The sequence below is a fragment of the Homo sapiens genome, chromosome 22, assembly GCF_000001405.40.
Source record: "Homo sapiens chromosome 22, GRCh38.p14 Primary Assembly".
Classification (NCBI taxonomy): Eukaryota; Metazoa; Chordata; class Mammalia; order Primates; family Hominidae; genus Homo; species Homo sapiens.
The window spans coordinates 34,634,108-34,660,881 of record NC_000022.11 but is presented as its reverse complement, the minus strand read 5'-3'; the positions used below and the strand labels follow the sequence as shown (position 1 = coordinate 34,660,881).

Below are 26,774 nucleotides of genomic sequence, written 5' to 3'. Positions count from 1 at the left end.
AAACATAATCACAGATTTGTAATTGGGTGAGATCAAGGCTTCTAAAAGTTCAAAGTGTTACCAATAAAGTTTGTGTTTTCCGTTTAGCCCAATACATTTGGCAGAAAATGCAGATGAGTGGATTGGACGTGCAACACAGCAATAATGAAAACTTCATCTTAAAAACACATCATTTGCCTGCATTGATATCCCCTCCATCTGATGACATTCCAGGAGGTTTTAACGAATTAAAGCCACATTTACTTGAAGAAGTCAATGAAGTTACTGATTGGTTCAAAATAATGATGTCTATCTTAGCATAAGAAGACACTTAAGCAACAGTGATTCCATTCACTTTCCAATATTGTTTCCACCAAATTTGTGGTCTGTGTATGGAACGGATTTCCACTTTCCCAAAACAATTTAGAAGCATGACACAGAAGATGAGAAAATTCAATAGAGAATGCTCACGTTAGTGTATATTGAATCAGAAGACTCAAAAAGAGAAGCACCACATAGAAAATGAATGTGAACATACTATCTGAGGAGAGTCATGCCGTAAAAGAAAAAAAAACAAAACCTCTTCATTGTGATGTAAGGCATCAAAATAAAGTTAATTATCATGAAAGTCAGCTAGCTCTTATGAAATATCTCCACGGAATTGCCCATAATCTATATTTTCATACACTTTTTCATATGTCAAATTTTCTTTTCCGTTATTTTTTACTATTTTAAATTATCAGCATTATTTTTTACAATTCACTGTGCTATGTATTTCATCTTCACATCATTTCCAATACCGGAGGTATAAACTGTATAAAGATTTTTGGAGAGTTCTAATTGTTTTACACATCTTTTGCAAATATTGTTCCACGAAAGTGCATTACCACAACATTGACTTTGTGTGTAAGCATTGCGACGGTGCATAAAAATGTTAAAACTTCTTCACTGTATGAAGAGGTATCCTTTTCATATGTCTGCATTCGTGAAAGATAAAATTTCTCAAGATCGTGAGTCTTTGGGCCACTGGTGCGGTGGTGATGCAGTGGTGACCCATCAAGTTTTTGACTGATCTCAAAAGACTTAGTTTGTCCATCATGGTATTTCAGATGACTGCAGTTATAAAGCTGAGTGCACACAATTACCAACTACAGTAATACACATTTAAAATTTTGCTTCTTGACCTATTTCTTCATGCATATGGTTCCTTTGCTCATAGCTCTTACACTCGTGTGACTGTTGTTAGTATACCTGAGTATACTTCATGCTTGCCAAAATATGTAGACTATTATTGCCTATTGTATTGTGTAAAGTGGCCCATGATCTGTCATGTTTTCAAATAAATCATTTTTTAAAAAATGTAAATAAATATATTGAAATATAATTTTAAATTATATTTTCCAGAATTATAGTTTTGAGACTTTGATCTTTCAGGATTTCCATATTTGGGATTACGGCGTTCAGGATTATGTCTTTTGAGATTATGATCAGCTTCCCCTTCGGAAGGTATTCTGGAAGAAGGCATTGTTATTTTAGGAGATGGCAGCTCAATATGTGTTATTGCTGCTGAAGACCGCCCAGTGGGACAAGTTGTGGAGGTAGAAGATAGTGATATGGATGATCCTGACCTTGTGGAGGCCTAGGCTAATGTGTGTTTTTGTGTCTTAGTTTTTAGCAAAAAAGTTTAGAAAGTAAAGTAATATATATATATTTTTTGAGACGGTATTTCACTCTGTTGCCCAGGCTAGAGTGCAATGCTGCAATCTCGGCTCACTGTAACCTCTACCTTCTGGATTCAAGTGATTATCCTACCTCAGCCTCCCAAGTAGGTGGGATTACAGGCATGTGCCACCACACTTGGCTAATTTTTGTATTTTTAGTAGACTGGGTTTCACCACGTTGGCCAGGCTGGTCTTGAACTCCTGACCTCACTTGATCTGCCTGCCTTAGCCTCCCAAAGTGCTAAGATTACAGGTGTGAGCCACTGCGCCTGCCTAAAATAAAAATTTTCTAAGTAGAGAAAACCTTATGGAATAAGGATACAAAGAAATATTTTTGTAGAGCTGTACAGTGAGTTTGTGTTTTAAGTTGTGCTATCATAAAAAGTCAAAAAGTTGAAAAAATTAAAAAGTTTATAAGGTAAGAAAGATACAGTAAGCTAAGATTAATTTATTATTGGAAAAAGAAAAACGCAGACCAGGCGCAGTGGCTCACGCCTGTAATCCCAGCACTTTGGGAGGCCAAGGTGGGCAGATCACCTGAGGTCGGGAGTTTGAGACCAGCCTGACCAACATGGAGAAACCCCGTCCCTACCAAAAACACAAAATTAGACAGGCATGGTGGCACATGCCTGTAATCCCAGGTACTCACGAGGGTGAGGCAGGAGAATCGCTTGAACCCGGGAGGTGGAGGTTGTGGTGAGCCGAGATTGCGCCATTGCACTCCAGCTTGGGCAACAAGAGCAAAACTCTGACTCAAAAAAAAAATTAATAAAAGAAAAATACTTTAAAAATAAACAGTGTAAACTAAATGTACAGTATTTATAAGGTCTACAGTAGTATACAACAATGTCCTGGGCCTTCACATCCACTCACCATTCACTCACTAACTCACCCAAAGCAACTTCCAGTCCTGTAAACTTCATTCACGGTAAGTGCTCTGTAGAGGTGTACCATTTTTTATCTTTTATACCTTATTTTTACTGTACCTTTTCCATGTAGAGATACGTTTACATACACAAAGACTTACCACTGTGTTACAGTTGCCTACAACATTCAGTGCAGTAACGTGCTGTACAGGTTTGGAGCCTAGAAGCAATAGGCTATACCGCATGCCTAGGTATGTAGTAGGCTATACTACCTAGGTTTGTGTAAGTGCACTCTAACGTGTTCACACAATGACAAAATCACCCAAGGATGCATTTTTCAGAAGGTATCCCTGTCTTTAAGCAATGCAGACTGTATTTATCTGGCTTCATCCCCTATTGCAATGTAGGAATTACCCTTCCATTCTTCACAAGTAAGCCAGTGGAATCTACATGAGTAAAATGTCCCCATAATTAGCTCTTGCATCACCATGTGGCATCTTACTGTTGACCTTCTCTCCTGCTCCAGAAATCTGTGACATACTCTAGCAAAATGCCATTAATACTGGGGAAAGTTACCAACATTCAGCCCAAGGCTGCTGATGCCCAACTAAAGGAAATGGAAAGGGAAGCAGGCAGTCTTACATGGCCGCAGGTAAGAGAGGGATAGAGAGGGGAAACCTCCACCTATAAAACCATCAAATCTTGTGAGAACTCTTTGACTATCAGGAGCACAGCATGGGGGAAACCACCCCCATGATCCAATCACCTCCCAGCAGGTCCTTTCCTGACAGGTGGAGATTATAATTTGGATTACAATTTGAGATGAGATTTAGGTGGGGACACAGCCAAACCATCTCAAAGGACTTGACGTAATGTTGCTGGTTTGAAGAAGGGGCTATGTGAGAAGGAATGTGAGCAGCCTCTAGGAACAGAGTGGTCCCTGGCAGCAAAGAAATGGGGACTCATTTCCACAGTCATAAGGAAGTGAATTCTTTCAACAACTTGAATGAGCTCCGGAGAGGATTTTTCTCCAAAGCCTCCAGATAAAAGCTCAGCCCAGGCTGGGGGTGGTGGCTCACACCTGTAATCCCAGTACTTTGGGAGGCCGAGGCAGGTGGATCATGAGGTCAGGAGTTCAAGACCAGCTGGCCAAGATGGTGCAACCCTGTCTCTACTTAAAATACAAAAATTAGCTGGGCATGGTGGCAGGCGCCTGTAATCCCAGCTACTTGGGAGGCTGAGTCAGAGAATTGCCTGAACCCAGGAGGTGGAGGTTGCAGTAAACCGAGATCGTGCCACTGCACCACTGCACTCCAGCTTGGGCAACAGAGTGAGACTCCTTCTGGAAAAAAAAAAAAAAAAGCAACAACAACAACAAAAAGCTCAGCCCAGCTGATACTGTGATTTTAGCCTTGTGATATCCTTAGTAAAGAATCCAATTTTTGACCTAAAGAACTATGAGTTAATAAATACGTGTTGCTTTAAGCTGCTAAATTTTTCATAATTTGTTATAGAAGCAATAGAAGATGAATACACTTGGTAGTGTGCCTTAATATCACAGTATTAATAATAATGTAATAATAATGAAGCATTTATTGCAAGCTTACTATATACCGAGTCCATTATAGGCATTCTGTCAATGAATCCTCATTTCACCTGTACGACCTAGGTTACAAATTCCTCAAAGTAACCTATTAAGTAATGAAACCAGGATTTGAATTTGCTGAAATCTTCTATTAAAATAAAAAATGATCCCATTCCCCATATGTTTATGCATTGGTTCATCAACACTGTCCTGGCATGCAATTCCTTTGCAGATTTTCCAAATACAGATGCCACACTACACACATCATCACGGTCTCCCCTTTACTTAGCAGCACTGCAAGTCTTGAGGACTGTGCTCTGGTACTTCCAACATCCTGATGTTCCCACTCAAAACTTCTCTAGCTACCCAAACCCTTGGGTCCATCTATCTCCTCTCCATTTCCTTAGCGCCAGTTATTAGTATCATTGATTTGGCATTTAATGCCATGTAACATTATAACAATCCCTCTATATTGTATTTAGTGTATTTCTGTTCTTAGTAGAATATAAATGCTTTCTGTTTTGGTCACTGTTGGGTTCCAAGCACCTAAAATAGTTTCTAACTCATTGGAGATGAAATACTCTTGTTGAATGAACGAACACATGAACTTAGACATTTTTCACCGCTCTCATTCAAATTATATTTATCTGATTCATTTCAAATCAAGTTCTTCTAGGCTTCTGCATGATCATCTGATTTTTACTATATCTACACTTGGTGGGGACCATGCAGAAGATGAAATGTGGGAACTTTTCCTTTAATCCATATCTGTTAGTGCCATAGCCATGGATGAAAAATACTATTTATTCCTTAACTGCTTTGTTCTTGGTCTTTTTGAAGTACTTTACATATATACATTTTCTCATTTAACCTTTACACTACCATATGAGGTAGGTTTAGTAGCTCCCATTTAAACAATGAAGAAATTGAAGATCAGAGAGGCCAACCCAAAGCTACATGGCTTACAGAGGTCATGACTGCCATTCAGACATTTCTGAATCCAAAGCCCATATCTTTTAGCATGCCACTATAGCATGCCACTAGAATGAAAGCTCCACAAAAGCAGGATATTGATTTTGTTTTTCCCTGTATCTTTAGTGCCTAGCATGTATTTGGAGATTAATGCACAGCTGTTGAATAAATGAATGAATCAAAGAACAAATGAATGAAACACGTCTTCTCTCTAGTTCTGCTTCAGAGGGAAAATTCTCATTTTTCATCCAAGTAACTTTTATTTAGATTCTCCTATACATGTTTTGGCTCAATTTCCACTTTCATCTTGGCCTTACAGAGGTATTAGTGTATCAGAATTGTAGGGTTTCTTAGAAGGTAGTTTATTCAGCTTCCCACCAATGCAGAAATCCTTTCTATGGCATCCTGGACAGATGGCCAGCCAGCCTCTACCTAAACACCTCCAGTCACGGAAGACAAAGGGGAACAAGAGCCTGTTTTATTTTGGGGGAAGTTCTGATGATTAGAAACACATTCATCTGATTGAACTGGATTCTTCCATATCAGTATTCTTCATGTTGCAAGAAACAGAAAGCACATCTGAAGATGGCTTTAGACACAGTGAGAATTGCTCAAATCAGTACTTGAGTGGTTCAATGTTAAGGTGAATTTCAGGTACAATTTGAGCCAGAGGTTCATAGTGTCCTCAAGGCTCTGATTCCATTTCTTGGCAATCCTTTATGCCCTGACATCTTCCATGTGTCAGCACTCTCATTTGACTACTTTTTTATAATAGGAAAACGTGTCAAAAGCAGTTCTAGGGTCTTCTAGCCACACACCACCATTATCTTGAGTAAGAGATTAAGAGCTTTTATTCCAGATAATCAAACTGGAATAAGTGGTGAGGCTTACTCTAATTAGACAGGATTAAGACCTCATAATTCATGGGGCCAGAATGATAAAACACAGCTACTGATTTAGCCTAAGTCAAGGATTCCAAGGCCATTATGTTATGATGCAGAAGGGGAGTATAGTGATGTGGAAGTGTTTGAGTGGAAGGGGGTGTAACAAACACTCTTGGCCAAGGGTCTCCAACCCCTAGGCCACAGACTGGTATGGATCTATGCCCTGTTAGGAACCAGACTGCACAGCAGGAGGTGAGCGGCGGGTGGGTGGGCATTACTGCCTGAGCTCTGCCTCTGTCTGATCAGCAGTGCCACTAGATTCTCATAGGAGTGCAAACTCTATTGTGAACTGCACAAGAGAGGCTGCACATTACTTATGAGAATCTAACTAATGCTGATGATCTGAGGTAGAACAGTTTCATCCCGAAATCATCCCTGCTCCCAACCCCCACCCTATCCATGGAAATACTGTCTTCCACAAAACTGGTCCCTGGTGCCAAAAAGGTTGGGGACCACTGTTCTTGGCTACCCTGTAATCCTTCTGAATTCTGGCCTTCCAACAGCAATAAAACTGTATTCATGTGTCTACACTCCTGCCATGCAGTCCATGTGACTCAGAGGCAGCTACTTTATCACTGGGTAGATTCCATGCTTAATTCCTGATTAGCCTCATGTAATCAGTGCATGGAACTCCTCTGGTGACCGTGATTGGTCTGGGGTTAGGCAGCAGCTGAAGTTGAACCAATAAAACAAAGGGGAAAGATTATATTCTGTGTCCGGGGAAGAGGTTTTCCTCTCTCCTTCATAGAGATAAATGGGAAAGTGTGTAGTCCAGATTGCCACCAGAAGAGTTTTTTTGTGACTATAATGGTGTCAGCCTTAGAATGAAGCTGTTGTTACTGACCACAGAATGGAAATGGAAAGGACTCAGTCAACAAAGGTATCACTGAGCTTCTAAGAGGTCCATGTTTGGATCCCTTCCCAACTAGAGCTCACTAATTCCAGCTATGTGAGATAATAATATTATACTGCCTAACCCTGTTTGTTGAATTATCCTTACCCTTGCAGGCAGAATGGTTGTTGGAGAAGCAACCAGGAGGCAAGCACAACCTCATAGGATTCTTCTTCCATCCATCCATTGGCTCAATCTCTATCCCACAAAATTTTAAGGACAGGTGTCTGCCCACATGGTACAATACTTTAGAACAGCTGATGATCTGAGATGGATCAGGCTATTATTCCTAGCCCTTTGGTAATTCTCCATATGTCATGGCATCTGGACTCTTCATCATGGCCATTCTATTCTGCAAATATGACAAGGCTTGTACAATTGAACATCATATTCCAAACATGGCCTGGCCTCCTCTGGGTACAATGAGAATATTATGTTACATAATATATGATCTAACTTGGTAGAATGCAAAGAAAACTGGAGTAAATGTAATTGTAAGGGATTCAAGTCCACGATCCACCTACTTCAAGCAAATCTTCTAACCACACCGAAACTCAGCTTTCTTCTTGATAAAATGGGAATAATAATCCCTGTTTACTTCAAAACATTGACATGCAAATCAGTTGAAATAATGGAAGCAAAATTCCTTGTAAATTGTAAAACTATATGAATGTGAGAAATGATGATTAATGCATCTTAAGATGGGTCAGTTTCCTTAAGCAGTTGTATCACATAGTTTAATTACAACCTGCCTTGTTTCAGAAAGAATTTCAAGCTTTTATAAGAGAACATAAAAAAGACAAGATGGCATAAATTAAAAACAATTTTTTTAAAAAAAAAGGAAAAAAAATCAGCAAAGTCAGGAAACAGACATTGAAAGTCTGGCCCAGCGTAGGCACTCAGTCAACGTTTTTCAATGAATATTTGGGTTGATCACAAATTCTCCTCTGAGGTTTCTTGAAGCCAGTGTGATTACAGAAATTGTGTCTGTTATGCAGTTCTCAATTCCCATGGAAAAAAAATAAAATAAATGTAACCTCTCTGGGGTAGCTTTTTTGGATTTCCTAGCTCAGGAGACACATTATCATCACATTTACATTAATATTTCAAAATTCACATCTACATAAATCATATTAGCAGGACCTTAAACCTCTGAGATATGACTCTACAGACCCAGGCCATGTAGCCACCCCCAGCCCTGAGACCCTACGTGTCTGGTGGTTCAGAGGGGAGAATTTCTCTTCCTACCCAGATGAAGGCCCACCTTCTGGGTCCCCTTTTTCCACTTCGGGATCTCCCTCTTCTCGTCAGATTGGCAGTTTGGTTGTCCCCTACTTTCAAGGAAACCCAATCCCAGCCAGAGAGATATGACTTTACCCTCTGGTGTCAATGAACAACTATATCTGCATGCAAAATTATTTTAACCTTAGTACAGCTCCCCAGAGCAGAGTTATTCAGGCTTAAATAATGTCTTCCTGTGTTCAGGTTGAACTTTGCTTTTCTAAGCTGCCTCGCATGCTCCTTTCAGTCTGAGGGGAAGATCAGATCAGCTCCTCCAACAAAACAGGCTTGTTGAAGGAACGCATGAATGGTGCAATTCGGAGAAACTCTCTGAGTGGCCTTCGTATCATCAAATGCTTAGATCTGTCACAATAAATGTGGTGATCACGGAATTATTTTTTTAGGTTCACTTAATTTTCAAGAAAATGCTATAAATAAATGTATACATAAGAAACAGGGTTAGAGTAGATAGCAACCCTTCTAGATTGACGGAACTAGTGAGCAGCAGTCCGAAGGTGTGGATTCAGACTTGTTTCATTGTAAATTCTATCACTTAACCTGGCATTATGGCAGCTATGTTGGACCTAAGTGACTAAAGGAATAGAAGAATTCATTCAACAAACATTTATCAAACTCATTCCTTGGGCTAAGCCTTGTATTTGGCCCTTCTGCACTATTACTTATCTTTCATTAATGTACTCATTAATTCTTCTGGTAATATCTTTGTTCTCTATTTCAAGCAGAGTGGAACTTCTTACCTGGATTTCTCCTTTGAGGCTGTTTTCTGAGACTTGGTACCAAAATGACAGATGCCCTGTGAATGTAGGCACATTAAAGAGAGGGAACACAGGACTTTCTTGCTCCCTTTATGTATTATTTCACATTTAATTAGCCTGGGTAATTTCTTCCAAAACCTCTCACATCTGCTGCCAGCCCTCCGAATTCCTGTGGCTCATTTTGTCTTGGGAACTTCTGTCATCTGCACTTGGGGACCTCCGTCTTTGATTTCACTACCAAGTAAAGCAGTACGATCTGCCCCTGTTTCTCAGTGCTTACCGTAGCCTTTGTTGGGGTCTGGTACCGACATGCTCACAGACAGGGCTACGACTTTAGTTTGCCAGGGCCAGGGAGTGAGTCAGAGAGAGAAGACAGATCCCCAAAGACTGAAAAGAGTATGCATGAGGATGTGTTTGTTGAAGGTGTGCTGCGGAGAAAGTGTAAATCTGCTGGTTAGTGTAAATCTGCCAGTTAGCTGGAAATGAATACAAATTCAGCATTAATTTGTATTCATTTATTCCACAAGCAAGAGGGCTTGAGAGGCTGCACAGTGGAGCACACTCCAGATGAGGGAAGAGAAAGCCTGGATTCTGGTTTTGACCTTGTTGCTCACTTGTAAGTGAATTTGGACCTATTATTTCCTGACCGAGCTTCAGAGTCTCTCTCTGTCAGGTGGGTTTATTAATAACTGCCTGTCTATGGAGCAGTCATCTTATGCCCTATTCTTCAGCTCCAGCTCCACCAAAGTAACACAAAACATATTACTTAAACCTCCAAGCCTCTACTTTCTCATCTGAACAATGGGAATAAGGATAATACCTAATTCAGAGCACTATTGTGGAGACTGAATGAAGCAGAGCATGGGAGGAATTTATACGAAATACAGTAAGCCCTGAAACCATGTTAGCTACATGATATAGTTTGGATGTGTGTCCCTACCCAAATTTCAAATCACATTGTAATCCCCAATATTAGTAGTGAGGCCTGGTGAAAAACGGTTGGATCGTGGGGGCAGTTTCTCATGAATAATCTAGCACCATTCCCCTTGGCAATTTCCTTGCAATAGTGAGGCCTCATGAGATCTGGACATTCTAAAGTATGTAGCACCTCCCCTCTTCTCTGCCTTGCTCCTGCTCTGGCCAAGCAAAGTGCCTGCTCCCTGTTCGCCTTCGTCGTAATTGTAAGTTTCCTGAGGCCTTCCTGGAAGCCAAGTAGATGCCAGCATCATGCTTTCTGTACAGCCTGCAGAACCATGAGCCAATTAAACATCTTTTCTTTATGAATTACCCTGGCTCACATATTTCTTTATAGCAATTGGAGAACAGACTAATACAGCTGGCTTCGTCAATATTACTCTCTCATAGGATTGTTGTAAATAACAAATGAAACTTTACATATTCCCATTCAGTACAACCCCATGAAATAATCATAATTATATATGAACAATAAAAACATGTTATGGATTTACAGGATCATTGGTATTGAACACTTACCTTGCACCCAGCAATATACTAAGATAGCAGAAACATATCTTTAGGATAACAGGATTTTACAGATGATCTGATTCTGTTCTCATTTTATAGGCAAACACTGAGGCACAATGAGACAGAATTACTTGCTAATATCCAGAGCTGACTAGTGACAGATTGGAACTAGAAACCAGATCTCCTGGAGCCTTAATATGGTTTTTATTTCCATCTGTTGCATTTTACATATGAAGAAACCAAAGCTGGAGAAGCTGAATGAAATGCCCTCCGTCATGTAGGTAAGCAGTGGTACATCTAAGATTCATATTTATAATAGGTCACATTTATGGTGCGCTTTATGTATGCCAAATATTGTTCTCAGTGCTTTGTGTGTATCATATCATTTAACCCTCTCAAAAAACCTTATGAGTTACTATTGGGATCTCCAGTTTTCAGACATTGGGATGGAGGCACAGGAAGTCCAGTAAATTGCCGAAAGTTGCACAAGAGGTGCCAGGATTAGAACACAGAGCATCTGGCATCAGAATCTGCACACTTCACCCCTGTAAGTGTTTGGAGTCTTTAAACCTCATGCTATTATCCTCTCCTGGCCCAGGCCTTGGGCACTAATGAGTTTGAGCTCTAGTCAGGGATAAGGCTTAAGGACAAGGAGCAAGGAGCAGCGTCAGTGGCAGTAAACAGACTGGCCACTGGATGACAAAAGAGCACATTTGTGTGGAGGCTGAGAAGCCTAAGAGCTGCAAAGGGGCCAGCACTTATTTGGAGCCTGTTGCTTTTAAGTTTCAGAGTTGCCAGGTGCAGTGGCTCATGCCTGTAATCTCGGCACTTTGGGAGGCTGAGGCAGGCAGGTCACCTGAGGTCGGGAGTTCAAGACCAGCCTGGCCAACATGATGAAACTCCATCTCTATTAAAAATACAAAAAATTAGCCAGGCCTGGTAGCAGGCACCTGTCATCCCAGCTACTCAGGAGGCTAAGGCAGAAGAATCACTTGAACCCAGGAGGCGGAGGTTGTGGTGAGCCGAGATCACGCCATTGCACTCCAGCCCGAATGACAAGATTGAAACTCCGTCTCAACAACAACAAAAAAGCTTGAGAGTTATTAGAACCTCTCTGATAAAACAAAACTCTCTTGGCTGAGGTGTGTTGGCAGGAGGGAAGACAAAACTGCCTCTGGTGGTTCACCGGGAAGAGGGAAGACCTGCATGGCCATCTGACGCCCCAGTATAAATTGTCATAGAGTGGTGCATTCTGGTGAAGACACTGCCCACCCCTCACTCAACCATGCAGGCAGATGCACGCTGAGCATGAGAGTAGCAAGCAAAAAGCTGTAATCTAAAAAACCCAAGTTCATGTAAGAACTAATAAAATAAATAAGAACTGCAAATACAGATTCTAACTGCTTCTATTCACAACATAAATAGCCCAAATCTGCTTCTTACCAGTTCAAGTGACTGTAAGTTACTTCACCTCTTTATGCCTGTTTCCTCATATATAAAATAAGAAAAATGCTAGTAGCTAACTCATAGCGTGGCTATCATGAACTGGATGTTTGTGTCTCCACCAAATTTCAACCTAACCCACAATGTGATGGTATTTGGAGATGAGACCTTTGGAAGGTAATTAGGATTAGATGAGGTCATGGGGGTTGGGCATTCATGATGAGACTGGTGTCCTTATAAGCGGGCATCAGAGAAAGATCTCCCTCTCTCTCTCTTTCATGATATTTTATTATGGAAGCCCTAGCAGACTAAGACAGCAGTTGCGAAAATTAAATGAGATAATCCATGCACCCATGCCTAGTGATTGCTATGGGTGTGTATGTTTGTGTGTGCATTTCTTTTATTTATTTTGAGACAGAGTTTTGCTCTTATTGCCCAGGCTGAAGTGCAATGGAGCTATCTAGGCTCACCGCAACCTCCGCCTCCCGGGTTCTAGCGATTCTCCAGCCTCACCCTCCTGAGTAGCTAGGATTACAGGCATGCACCACCATGCCCAGCTAATTTTGTATTTTTAGTAGAGACGGGGTTTCACCATGTTGGCCAGGATGATATAGATTTCTTGAACTCATGTTCCACCCACCTCAGCCTTCCAAAGTGCTGGGATTACAGGCGTGAGCCACCATGCCCAGCCATGTGTATTTCAATGTGTGATATATTTATATATCTACAGTGGAATGCACATCCGTAGTCCAGGATGCTATTGTGGGCCTATCCTCTAGGTACAAGGGTGTGTGTGTGTGTGTGTGTGTGTGTGTGTGTGTGTTTTCCCTGGCTCAATTAACACTAACCAACTCCAGCCCACACAAAAACCTGTATTAACACCTATAGTTAAAGCATTGCTGTACCTGGAAAATGGGCCCACAGTAGCATTCTGCACTACAGACGTATGTTGCCGTCGGGATGAAGAATGCCTTGCCATTCATTTTACATCCTGGAAAAACTGCTGAACTAGCACTGCCATCTCTGCAGCAGTAGATGGGCCCCATGGCCAATGCAGGCCTAGGTTTCAATGTCAACCCTGTATGAAGCAACAGCAAAAAATGGGGCCCACCTGCTGACTGATTCTCCAGCTCTCTGTGAAGCATTTAGAGCAGACTGCCTCCTTCATGCTGATTAAGCATTCTCGGACAATTCAGGAGCAATAGAGAGGTCCCCAGTAAGAACTTCTGGGCTTCTGGGTAATTTGGTCATATGAAAAGCTTGAGAAATTAATTACATTATTAAGAGAGATGTGACTTTATTTGTTCTGCAACTAGTTACAAGAAATAATAGAGGGGCATTTAATGAGCATTTACCATGCTCCAGGCACCCAATATTAAGTAATTTACATAACTCTTCTCCTTTATTCTTTGCAAGATGGAGAGGGTAGGTTGTCTTATCCACATATTATACACAAGGTGACTGAGCCTCAAGGACAGAACTCTTGTCCAAAGTCACAAAGGTCTGGTGTGGCAGACCCAGAATTCAGAATCAAGAGTTTTGATAGCAAAGGCCAGATCCTTTCCATGGTGAAATACTGCAGTGCTTGAAATAGGGAGGGAGAACTATTATAATAAATGTGTTATATTATAGGATGTGTATGTGTTTTGTAAGTTTTTTGGGCAGGAAACTAACTAATCAGTGTGTCTTGCCTTTAAGAGAGAAAGTTTAATTTAAAAAGGTGGCATTCAAATGGGAGGACTAGCCCTACTGCGCGTCTGGGTTCACCAGGTGAACTTGGCCAAATCAATTTTTTTTTTTTTTTTTTTAGTTTAAAGAGGAGCCCATCTGGAAAACTGGGCACAGTACAAGGGCCTTTTTCTGTAAACCAAATCTTGTAACAGCGCCAGGCTTTGTCCCTGAGAAGGAAGTTGCCACAAAACGAGAGGCAGAAAGAATCCTTTTCCAATGCAAGAGCCATTCTAGGGCTGTGTGTGAATGCTGTGCCAGGAGGCAACACAATTAGCAATTCCTGACACCAGCGGCTGCCACTCTCCTGGGCAACATCTGTGTTGGAATCAGCATCTGCCGGCTCACCTTTCCCAGCCAGGATGGAGGCTGTGCTCATCCTGCTGACCACATGCTCCATGCCAAGTGCAATTGGCAGAGCCCTGCTATCTATTCCCCTGAGGGTTGACTGGCATGGCCATCTTGAGGAAGGGACAGTTTGAAGGCCCCCAGGTCGTCCTACAATCAATGCTGATATTGCCAACAAAGCACCTTGCTTGTAAATATGGACCATGGCCCAGAGGACAAGGGAAACACAATAAATACGATTGAAATGGATGCTGAACATATTAGAATGTCTGCTGCAAGGTGCCTGCAGAATTTGTTTGTTCAACAGCACTAATAATATTAGCTACCACCAATTTAGCAGTGACTTCCTGCCTGTCCCTTTGATAAGGGCTTTATGTTCATTATCTCAAATGATCCTGACAACACAGAGAGCAAGGTGCAATCACACACTTCATTTTACAAGACAGGGAAACTGAGGCTCAAGGAGACTAAGGAACTGACCAATATCATACTCCACTTGTGAGTGGCAAAGCCCAGGGAGAATTCAAATTAGTACCACCCCTGAAAATGCTCACCCCATACTGCCTTTCTCCCACTTCCATCCTTGCTAAAATTAATCCTGGAGGACATATCCCAAGGAGGACATCCTTTTTAAAAGGAACATACAAATACATACCCACCTCTTTCATACATTTTGTGACTCTATGTTCATACTCATGACAAGAAACATCACAGTTTCCTGGGGACGATGAATCTAATTTGTAATTTTGATTGAAGAAGTGAAGTAAATGTTTGAATTTTAGACAAAAATGTCTATGTTCTTTTTCTCTCTGGTCCCAAATTTCATCTCTAAAGCCAAAGGGCTGGACGACGGAATATCTAAGGTCTCTTCTACTTCCAAAATGCTGTGGTGTCTCAGAAAACCTGCATCCCAGGTGTGCAGAGGGCAAAGTGAGTACAACTCTTCCCAATGCATAGAGATCCTACACCAGCGTTGGCTCCATTCGCTCCTTTCTTTCTTCCTCAACATGGCTTTTTTCTTATTTTCTGTCTGTCCAATTTCCATCTGGGACTTCTCAGATGGCACAGTCCCAACTCAGGTATCACCTGGTGCCTGAGGCTTTCCAGGAGTCACTGAGCTAGAGATAGCCTCCTTTTCTTAAAACCATGTGGGGTCTACCAGCAAATGAATGCCCTGGCTATGCTGTCTTGTAGGGCAACATGGTTGAGAATTCCCTGTTGGCTTCCCTTGGACTGGCCAGCAGGTGGGAGCAAAGCAGGCACTTAGCGCGTGGCTGTGGCTGGGATGGACCAAAGAGGGGCATGGCAATGAAGAAACTGCACGTGGGACTTGTGGAGCGGAGAGAAGGGAGACACGTTCTACAGTTGTTATGAGTGTAAGATTTGGGAAGAGAGATGCAAACCTACATATTAGGAGTTCTTGGCATTGACTGTATTTCTACCCTCTGACATTTTTAAGTATGATGGCCGGGGAAGATTTGATTGTCATTAATTCCCTCCTGACAATGAAACTTTTTCTTAAATGTGACTTTGTTCAGGGACTGGGCCACTGGGAGCACTGGGATTTATATAGTTTAGAGCAATGTTTGCTGACATTGCTTGTGACTACTTATGGCAACCTCCCCCCAGACTCTAGATCCGTCTGCCTCCCACCCCTTGTGTGAGTTTTGTCCCATCACAATACCTATGGTTCCCTTCCTGTCAGCTTGCTTTCATTCTTGCTTTTTTGTTTGTGTCTCCATGGAATTCCCTTTCTTTCTACCCTCTGGAACCATCTTTCTAGACTAATCTCAAACATCATCTTTTTGAAGCCTCCCCAGACATAACAGCTAGGTAGAACTACCACTCACTCTCATGCTTGCACTCTATCCTGGAGAGTGTGTACCACAACTAGATACCATAGACTTTTAACTCCATTGATTTGTTCACTGATCTGTTTCCTCTGCCACACATTGAGCTCCTAGAGGCTGAAACCACATTGGAATCCTTTATAATCTCCAGCATTCAGTAAATGTTTGTTGAATTAGTGAAGGTAAGAATCTTTAGGGTGCCTAGAGCAGAGTTTTGTACATGAAAAATAAAAAGTAAATTCTGGCCGGGCGCAGTGGTTCATGCCTGTAATCCTAACACTTTGGGAGGCCGAGGCAGGCAGATCATCTGAGGTCAGGAGTTCGAGACCAGCCTGGTCAACATGGTGAAACCCTGTCTCTACTAAAAATTCAAAAACTAGCTGGGTGTGGTGGTGCGTGCCAGTAATCCCAGCTACTTGGTAGACTAAGGCAGGAGAATCGCTTGAACCCAGGAGGCAGAGGTTGTAGTGAGCTGAGATCACACCACTGCACTTCAGCCTGTGTGACAGAGCGAGACTCTGTATCAAAAAAGAAAAAAATAATATCTCACATTTATTTAGTGTTTACTATGTACCAAAGAGTATGTTAATGCCTTTTTCAAATGATCAGATTTAATCCATTCAACAACTCTATGAATAACCTTGTGAGGTAGGTACCATTATCATCATTATTTTACTTAGAGGAAAAATGAGACTTAAGAAGGGATTAAGTAATTAGCTCAAGTTCCATATTTAGTAAGTGACTGAGCCAGGGATCAAAACTACACTGAGCTCACATATTCAACCTCAGTATTACATTGTATCAGAAAGAAAGTGAAAGAAGGAAGAAATTAGGTATCACATGAGAATGGAAGCCAAATATTACGTAGATACAATAATGAAGTGACATGTTTAAATCTAAGTAAACACACTTCACCTTATACATCTCGATGATTATTGATTATACATCCTATTCTTGTTATACTTAGTTGATGACTATCCCTTTCTCAGAGAGCCACTTGGCGAAGCTTTGGGAATATTAAACTAATAAATCCATGATTCACAACATTCTTCCTCTCTCTCCTTAGGACTGGCTGAAGATCTAAGAGCATATTCACTTGGATTTATTCAGGAACAGTAACCAACTCAGAGACGTCTTTTTGCACTGAGAGGCTGCCCTTCATGGAAACAGTAGAACATCCCTGAGATACAAGCTCAAGAGATATGGTAGGCTCTCAGGCTGGAAGGAAAACTCCATTCTCTTAGTTAAGGAAAGGAATGTTAATGTTATGGGAAGAGAATGGCCTTTGAAGCCACAGAGCCTTCAGTTCCCTTCTCCTGCTGCACACTTAGAACACGTGAGACTTTGCAAAAGTCACTTAACTTTTCTGAGCTTTTCTTTCTTTCATTAAAAGAGAAATGAGAATAGCACCTACTTCACAGTGCAATTTGTCATGCAATTGAAGTAATGTAACGCTTGTAAACAACATACCACAGGGCCTGGCACATTGTCAACATGAGATACTGTTCTGACAAGTATGGTTTTAAAACCATGAACCTGATTTCGAGGGTACATATGTGTATATGCTCATTAAGCCCTCCAAAGGGAGTCCAGAAAAGGTCTGAGGCCAGACTGTCCCATGTAAGATCTGCACAGGGTTCCCCTTTGAAGGGAGATATTCATTCCAGCCCATTAATTTGGCTTAGTTTGTGAAATCAACGAACATCATACTTTAGACACACCTCATACAACCCTGTACCGCCAAGGTACTTTGTGTGCAGTAGCACTGCAACAAATACTTGGCTGATTAATTCATAATTTGGGAACTTGGATGGAACTCGGGGTGGTGGAGGAGTGAATACTGTAGCCTGGCTCCCTCCACATCTGCTGGCAACCTCCTTTAAGTATTCTTTCTTTTGTGCTGAAGGCATTGGAAAACTGAAAACAGTATTTTCTAGATTCCTCTGCAGCTAAAGATTTGGATGTGATCTTGATTTTATAATTAGACACACTTAGCAATATTTGAATCAGGCCTAAGTTACGCAGGGAAGGTTGTTTTTTTTGTTTTGTTTTGTTTTTGTTTGTTTGTTTTGAGATGGAGTCTTGCTCTGTCACCTACGCTGGAATGCAATGGCGTGATCTTGGCTCACTGCAACCTCTGCCTCCTGGGTTCAAGAGATTCTCCTGCCTCAGCCTCCCGAGTAGTTGGGACTACAGGTATGTGCCACCATGCCCGGCTAGTTTTTTTTTATTTTTAGTAGAAATGAAGTTTCACTGTGTTAGCCAGGATGGTCTCAATCTCCCGACCTTGTGATCCACCCGCCTCGGCCTCCCAAAGTGGCAGGGAAGATTTTAACCTAAGAGATATTCTGTTGCTGGTATTGACCATTCAGCCTCAATGTGACCCTGGAAACAAGAGTCTCCGTAGTCCTTCCTGACCACCAGCATTCTTCTTATGGTAGAAGGTCCTTCCTCTGGTAGCCAATCCCACAGTGCTATTCTAGAAATCATTCTTGGAGGTTAATTCTGCAGCCTGCTCCTCAAGCTCCTCCAAAAATTCCCCATGTTAATTCTCAAAAACTGTTAAAGGAACAGTCCTATTATCTATAACTAAACCTTAAATGGGTACAATATTTAGTACCAGAAATGGTTATAGGCATTAGACTCTCTAGGATAAAAACCTGGTATAGGTTATGTAATCTGGCTGAGTCGAAGGCGGTGAATCCCTGGTTACTATTAGAGAATAGAAAACTAGTAGCCTAGAGCACCCACTGGTAAAGCAGTACTTAAATGAGTCCTATAGTCACCTGGAATGAAGAGTCTATTGAAGGCATAACTTGGCAAATGAAGTTGCCTTCATTATGCCAATACTCAGTACTTGGCACCTGTCAAAGGTATAGTGAACTCAGATAGTGAAAGGACCAGTAGTGCCCCCACCCTGACTCTGCCCACCTTTATCTCTCAACAGGACTGAAGAGCCACATATTCACCCATTACTAGTATTTGACATTCACCTGAAATTGGCAAAGGCACCATGACTATGCCACATTATTCTTCCAAATGGAATTATCATAGTTTTGGATAAGTGATAAGGTATGTCTTTATACATGCAAGGCAGTAAAATTATTCCCTGAAATAACAAGAATTTTGCTCAAGACTGGCTTTATGGTCTTTATGGATAAGCCATACAAATACATTACAGGCTTTCCCACAAATTGTCCCCCTCCCCCAAATTTTGAGAATCACCAATCTATCAGAGAAAAAAGAATAGACTACCAGAGATCTCCTCTTTTGCTTTTAATCACCTTCAGACATCAGAGGATGTCTGCTGTCTCTGTTTCAGCCCTTCCCAGGCTGCTCAACGAGCCCCCACAACTGGGAGATTTGGATGGGCCCTGCCTCTTCACTGGCTGCAAAGCAAAACAGGATGCTGGCTGTGTCGATGAGGAGCCCCCAGAAACCCTTCCTCACGATCTGGGATTGTGTTTACTAAAATATGTGTGGAGGTTTCCTGTTCCCTGTGCCAGATAATATTGTCTACACAAGAACAAATTGAATCTATGCCACATAGTAATTGCCAGGTGCCCCCAAAGTTGATGTGTTTGACTATGCAGTAAAGATAAAGTTTCTCCAAGGATCAACTCTCAGCATATTTGGCAAATTTAGTTTCGAATTCTTACTTACAAGTTTTTTCCCCTACATTACTCATTAAAAGAAAATAAAAGTACTGTTACCGTTTTTCCTTTGATAAGACTCAGACAGCCACGGCTCGGTTTTCCCTTGGGTCCTCGACAAAGCAGTTGTATCTCTCCACCTCACGGCCACAGACCACTCGGAGATCAAGGCTTCTGCATGCCCCCCCTGTCTTGAATGGAGGAGAAGAGAAGGTGTAAGTCTGAGTATGTAAATCCTGCCTGGTAGACAGCCTGTGTTGTTTGTTCTTGGTAAGAGGAGGCTCAATTAAGAGTTAACTCTAACCCCAGAGCCCTAAAGGCTTAGAACGAGACTCTGCAAGGTGTTCCTGGAGAGATTAATGAAGGTTATAGAAGGAAGCTAAAATGAATCTTAGAGAAAACCACAGGGCTGTGGTGTTTTTTTTTATTTCAACGGATGAAATGGAGGCCCTGCATCAAATTACTGGCAAAATCAATCCTAATGATGGCCACTTTCTAGAAAGTCTGGGGGCTTGGAGTTCCTCAACCGGGCCAAGCAAGCTGTTATACTCTCAGGGATATTTGACTCTAGATACAGATAACATCAGCCACGATGCTCTGCAATACTGAGCCAGTGGTATCTAAGCCAGGCAGAATAGAATACTGATGAACCCCAATGGACCCGTGAGCAGCACCTGGGAGTAGAGCTCTCTCCCCTGATTCTCACAGTTGACGTCTTCCTGTTCTCTGCTTTTCTCCTTCTTAGTTTCTGAAAGACCCTTCAGTGCCTCTGCTGGTATAAAACTCAATCCTGGCCGGGCTCGGTGGCTCACACCTGTAATCCCAGCACTTTGGGAGGCCAAGGAAGGTGGATCACGAGGTCAGGAGACCGAGACAATCCTGGCTAACATGGTGAAACCCCGTCTCTACTAAAAATACAAAAAATTAGCCGGGCGTGGTGGTGGGCACCTCTGATCCCAGCTACTCCTGCCCCCGAGTCCTCAGCCTGATTGATGGGCTTCTGGAAACCTGTTTGCTCATGTCTGTCTGTCCGATCATTGTATCTCCCCCTGCATCACAGTGGCTCAGTCATATTTTTAGAATGCATAAACTGTCGGCTCTTGGCTTAGGAGCTGAGTTGTAGCTCAGCTCTGCCCTCATCTAAGCTGGCTGGAATTATATTGCTTCTACTTGAGTGACTCCAACTATTGCTTCTTCCTGAGACGTCTGCTGGGGGTCTCACTGTCTAGGTTCCACCCCTGGGATAGTGATGTCAGCTCCCGTGAAACTTGCCGCAAATGCTGAGCACAGTACAACTTTGCCTGAGGCTAAATTACTCTCTGTTCCCTGAGTTCATGCCTCTTTCTCACTCTCAGGACTTTGCTTTTCCTGTTCCTCCTCCTGGCATGTTCTTTGCCCCACTTACCTGGCTAACTCCTACCTAATATGACAACTCCACGCCTTGCCTCAGATATCACTTAATCAAGTAAGAATTATCTGACTTCCTACCTCCTGCCTTCCCAGGTTTGGGGTTGAATAACCTGCTTCCACTGACCCTGCTTTCTACTGTAACATTTACCAATCTGTAGTTTAATCACCTGTTCATTTCCTTTCTCTACCAGTAAACTCCGGGCTTCTTGAGAGGTTAGGGTACAACTCCCTTGTTTACAGGTGTATCCTAAATATATGGAAGGTACTCAAAAATGTGTGTCGAATAAGTAACTTTAGGCAAAATTTCTAGTTACTAGATAAAAGTAATGGAATGGTCCTTCACTTTTCTGTACTCATTGTGTGAGACGTTAGAGTATAATAGAGAAAGAAAAAAATGAAAGAAGAATTCGAACGAGAAATAAAAGGAAGAAAAATCTGGAAAGAGGGAGGCTCTCTAGAGAGAATTTTTCAGGCTCAGAAGTTTGGAAATAGACCTTGACACTTCTGATTGAACAAGACACAGGGATACAGTGTGTTTTTCTCTAGTTTAGTGCCCTCCATTTATTGTAGTGTATTTCATCCATTAAATATTTCTTAGTGCTGGGAGCTTGGATCCAGGAAGGAATAAATGCATGGACCCTACTTTTGAGAAACTCAGACTCTGCTTCGATAGATGGACATGAAAATAATCAGTTTTTCCAAGTAGTCAAATGTTGCAAAAATAATAACAAGACGGGGGACATACGTGCTAGAACATGAACAAATAGGAATTTCATTGACAAAGTAGAGACAATTCAGAAAGTGTGAACAGCATGCATGAAGACATCATGTTGTGAAGGACCATGGTGTTTTCAGGTTACAGAGAAAAGTTCTATGTGGCTGGATCAGAGGATGCAGAGAGAGGGGATGGGGGGGGATGGGGAGGGATGGGGAGGGACGGGGAGGGACAGAGTGGTCAATTGGGTGCTGGAGTTCCCATTGTGAAAAGTGCGGGGTCCCATGCTAAGGGAATGGGAACCTCTGAGTGACTCTAGGTCAGAGGTAAACTATGGACCATGGTCCAAATCTTGCAAACACAATTTTATTGGAAGACAGCCACAAACGTTCATTTACTTACTGTGTCTGACCTCATTAGCACTACAAGGGCAGAGTTGTGTAGTTGTGACGGAGGCTGTCTGGTCTATAAAATCTAACATATATATCTACTGGCTCTTTATAGAAAGTTTGCAGATCTTTGCTCTGAGCCAAGGAGCGATGTGGTCAGACTGACATTTTAGAAAGATCACTCCAGCAGTTGCGTGAGTTTTTGCATAAGATCTTATTTGGACAAACAAAAGATGGTGTTTCTAGAAGACTTGAAAAATTCCAGCTTGCTTTATAAAACCCCAAATCCCTCAGCTATGTGCTGCACTATTATGATTTCTTCATCCTTCTTCTCCCAACCTGAGATCATGTTTATGAGCCCATCTCTAAACCAGAGTTAATTCCTTTAGGGCAAGGAATTGTAGTATTCTTATTTTTTTTTTTCATCTTTACACTGAGCCATCTGATTGCCTGCACTCTACAGCTTAATAAGTGAATTTAAATGAATTGTTGAAAGATTGCTCAAATGACAATCATTCATTTCATTGACATGAAAAGGTTGACAGCCACTATTACCTCATTCACCTGCTTTGAGTGTCCCCTGCCTGGGTGCTCATCTGTAGGTGGGGAGTGCAGAGGGGGAGATCTGGTCCTTTGCTCTGCCTGGAGCCCTAGGGAGGGCTCTGACTTGAAGACAGCTTTTATCCTAGTGTGTCTATGCCTCGTTTGCCTCCGGGTGCCTTGAGAAGATCTATTTTGAGGTCTTTTCCAGATTCTGTCCCCAGGTAGGCATCTCCTTGACTGAAATCCTAAAGAAAAGAAAGCAAGGTGAGGCTCAGGCTTGCTCCTGGCCACAGGAGTTCTTTATGAGGCTAATCGGCAGTTGCAAATAAAGATTAAGGACCAAGCAAACAACCCAGCAAGTGATAACTGCAAAGCTGGCTTAATCTTAATGAAATCTACAACATATATTTATATAAATCATAATGACACTTGCTTGCCTTCTGTGTAATTTGCTTGGATGGGTTTGGAATGACACAGCCAATTGTTTTGCCACTGCCTTTACCCTGTTTTGAAGCACTCCTCAGCAGCCCACGCCAGACCAACAATGACATCCTGCTGGTCCAGTGGGACCTTAAGCCTGTTGAAAATGCATTATGTTTAACTTCTCATCCTCCTAGGAGAGCAGGAGTTGTCTTCTAACCTGAATCTCAGAGAGGATGTGATGCAGGGAATTGTGGGTGTGATGACTATTATTGGGCTCCCATTAGCAATAATTTCCCTCCATCTCTTAACAATTCTCCATCCTGATGTCCTCAGGTATTCTAGGGTTCCCAGAACCGAGTTCTTTAGCATTCACTAATGTCATAATGACTCAGCTTGCCAATCTGGGCACAAAGAAGTCAGACACGAGCCAGTCACGGCAAGGTAGAAGCAGATAGCTGATGGTGCCTCCTCACTTCCTCCCTCTGATTCACTCTCCTCCCTGGCACCACGTCCCAGCCCACCCCTCCTGTGCCCACTGCTGTCCTTCCTGCTTGAGTCTTTAGTTCAGTGGTTCTCCAAATGTGTCCTGAGGATGACGCTTCAAAACTAACTAAGGTATTCGTCTAAAAATGCTCTTAATTTCTTGGGATGAGGCCCAATAATGTGCATTTCTAACAGACTTCCTGGATGATTCTTGTGCTCATTCAAGTTTGAGAACCATTGAGCTTAACCTATATATTGAGAGACCTCTGTTCCTTATTTTTTAAGACAGAGTCTCACTCTGTCACCCAGACTGGAGTGTGGTGGTACAATCTCGGCTCACTGCAACCTCCACCTCCCGGGTTCACGCCATTCTCCTGCCTCAGCCTCCCGCGTAGCTGGGACTACAGGCGCTCGCCACCCTATCTGGCTAATTTTTGTATCTTTGGTGGAGACGGGGTTTCACCATGTTAGCCAGGATGGTCTCCATCTCCTGACCTCAGGATCTGCCTGCTTCCACCTCCCAAAGTGCTGGGATTACAGGCATGAGCCGCTGCGCCCGGTGGAGACCTCTGTTCTTTAATCATAGTTCAGATCTGTCCTGTTTTTAATTTGTCCAATGACAAAGACTTCTTCATGAGACCTTCTCATTTCTTTTTATCCGTGGCTGAGTTTACCCTGGTCATTTTTGAATTTTGTATCTTATTCTTTTATCGCCAGAGACTTCTACTTGCAGTTTTGTTTGGCTGAGCCCAGCTTCTCCCATCCCTCTGTGGCGCCAGCTCCAGCTCAATTTTTTTTTTTTTTTTGGGGGGGTGGGTCTCAGCTCAAATGTCACCTCCTCAGAGAAGTCTTCTTTAGCCATCACATTTAAAGTACTTCCTGCAACTTGGTTACAGTCGCAATGTTGTGCTTCATTTCTTCTGAGCATGTGGCACAATTGGTTTATGCTGTTGTTGATTTATTTGTGTTTATTTTGCTATATCCCATGGAAATGTAAGTTTTATGAGGCCAAGAGCCTTGTTTGCCACATTTTCTATAGGCTTCTAGAACCTAGACCAGTGGCTGACATGCTGTAGATACTCAGGAAGCATGTGCTAACAGAATAGATTAATAAACTTTGTAGTATTCAAAGAAGGTGGTAGATTTCAAGAGAAGCAAAGCCATACATGCCACCCTGAGTGGATGGCCCGGGGCCATAAGATGACAGGACAGAGGCAGCAGTGCAATGCCTTACACTGGTACTCAGGGCTCTCTACCATGTGGTTCTAATCTATCTTTTTGGCCTTATATCTCATTAATCCTCTTGGAGTACCCTGTGCTTACTTAGCACTCCCTGTTCCTGAACGACACCATCAATTTTTTTTAAAATCTAAGACCGCTTATAAACTGGGCCCTCTACTAGAAATTCCTCCTTTCCCACTAATAATTCTATCCTTTTGCTTTTTTTTTTGAGACGTCTCACTTTGTTGCCAGGCTGGAGTGCAGTGGTGCAATGATCTTGGCTCACTTCAACCTCCTACTCCCTGGTTCAAGTGATTCTCATGCCTCAGCCTCCCAAGTAGCTGGGATTACAGGCAAGCGCCACCCCACCCAGCTAACTTTTTGTATTTTTAGTAGAGACAGGGTTTCACCAAGTTGGCCAGGATGGTCAGGATCTCCTGACCTTGTGATCTGCCCACCTCGGCCTCCTAAAGTGGTGGGATTACAGGCGTAAGCCACAGCACCCAGCCCAATTCTATTCTTTTGAAAAGTGCTGTCTCTAAGGCTTAATAAATACACAAATAGTGAGTGGTTTGCAGGTGTGCAGCACTGGGCTGAAGGATGGAAGCAGCCACTCATACTTCTCTGCATGGTCTTAGAAAGACCTTTCCCTCCAGTGGGTCTCAGTGAACTCATCCATTACTGTCAGATGTGTTTGGATGGTCTCCACAGGCTCTTCTAGTTCTGAAAGTACTCTGACATTCATAGTGGAAACACAGGCATTGTACTGAGCCAGAGGAGGGAAGGAATATCTGGGAAGACTTTCTGCATCTCCTCAAATGCTGCCACATAGAAAAACACTCTGTTTTATTGTGTTTTTTTTTTGTTTTTTGTTTTTTCCCTTAATTCCTCCAGGACAGCTGGGCAACACCAAACTGATGCAGCCAATTTCCATAAAACAAACAAAGACACCCAATGTCATGTTGAGTGATAATAGATTAGCAGCATCTTCAAATCAGAGGCATCATTAAATACTGGGTTCCATGAAGCACGCACAGGAAAGAGTTTCCAAATCCAATGTCAGCCTGCCCCAAGCAGGCAACCTGAGACTCAGGTCTTCTCTCTACAGGAAGAAAAGTGTGTCTGAATGTGAAGCTGTGAAGAGGGTCATGGTTACCAATACAGATGTACTGCCCAACCAGTGTTCCACCTTTCCCACGTCAGGCCCCTCTACTGGAACAAAAAACATTAGAATGAACTTTGATTGTCCTTATATCCACATCCTTTCAGAACAATATGAGTGAGTGAGAAAAGGCTTCTAAGGATTCCTCCAAGAACAATGGCATATATGGGCTTTGGTGACAGACAGACCTGAATTTGAATCCTAAGCCCTCCTTTTATTGGCTACAGGATATTGATCACATAAAATTCTTAGTTTCCTATTCTGTCAAAGGAAGGATCACTGGATAACCCATGTGAAGTGTCTGGCACCACGCTAGGGGATATTGTGGGTGATAAATACATTTTCTTTTCCCTTTTTCTATCATACAGATCATTTTGAGCTTTTATGGCTCCATCTTTGAATATATAAACATCTTACAACCATCCCCCTACAACCTCGTTTTTTAATTGAGGCGTTTGGTGGAAGGTATGAAGCTCTGCCCTCTCCACAGTTCATCCATCAAGCCTTCTGCCTTGTGCTTCTTACACTGTCTATCTCTCTGGTGGAGTGCTTATCAAAGTCAATCATCTTCCTTCCCAAGATGGAGAGCTGTACGTTTGAAATTCGAGCTTATAACTTTAGATCAAATGTAAATGGAGACCCTTCAGAAAGTTCCTTACATGGAGCCTGAGACCCCCTTAGGCTCCTGGGTAATGGTTTTCTTCCCTCTCAGTGAAGCAGATAAGACACACAGACTGTGGCTATTAATGTTTTTGTGGTTTTTTTGTTTGTTTTTTGACACAGAGTCTTGCTCTGTCACCCAGGCTGGAGTGCAGTGGCGCGATCTTGGCTCACTGCAAGCTCCATCTCCCGGGTTCATGCCATTCTCCTGCCTCAGCCTCCCAAGTAGCTGGGACTATAAGCGC

General features: G+C 42.4%; 1 long non-coding RNA gene across 1 annotated transcript in view, besides 1 other annotated feature; it reads right to left on the bottom strand.

The window, feature by feature from the left end:
- LOC105373013 (uncharacterized) overlaps positions 1 to 25,316 on the bottom strand; it is a 30,333-nt gene extending 5,017 nt beyond the window's left edge. Inside the window, exons 1-2 of the long non-coding RNA XR_001755610.2 lie at positions 22,593 to 25,316; positions 19,584 to 19,714 (exon numbers count right to left, since the gene is read on the bottom strand). This is a non-coding gene — a long non-coding RNA (uncharacterized LOC105373013). The remainder of the gene's footprint in view (positions 1 to 19,583; positions 19,715 to 22,592) is intronic.
- Positions 22,602 to 23,801: an enhancer, noted in NCBI's record as "BRD4-independent group 4 enhancer chr22:35033073-35034272 (GRCh37/hg19 assembly coordinates)". NCBI's record gives its function as "activates an origin of replication core promoter dependent on BRD2, P300/CBP, MED14 and CDK7 cofactors, and independent of BRD4, by STARR-seq in HCT116 cells {active_cell/tissue: HCT116}" and the evidence as "EXISTENCE:reporter gene assay evidence [ECO:0000049][PMID:35650434]".
- Positions 25,317 to 26,774: the final 1,458 nt, after the last annotated feature.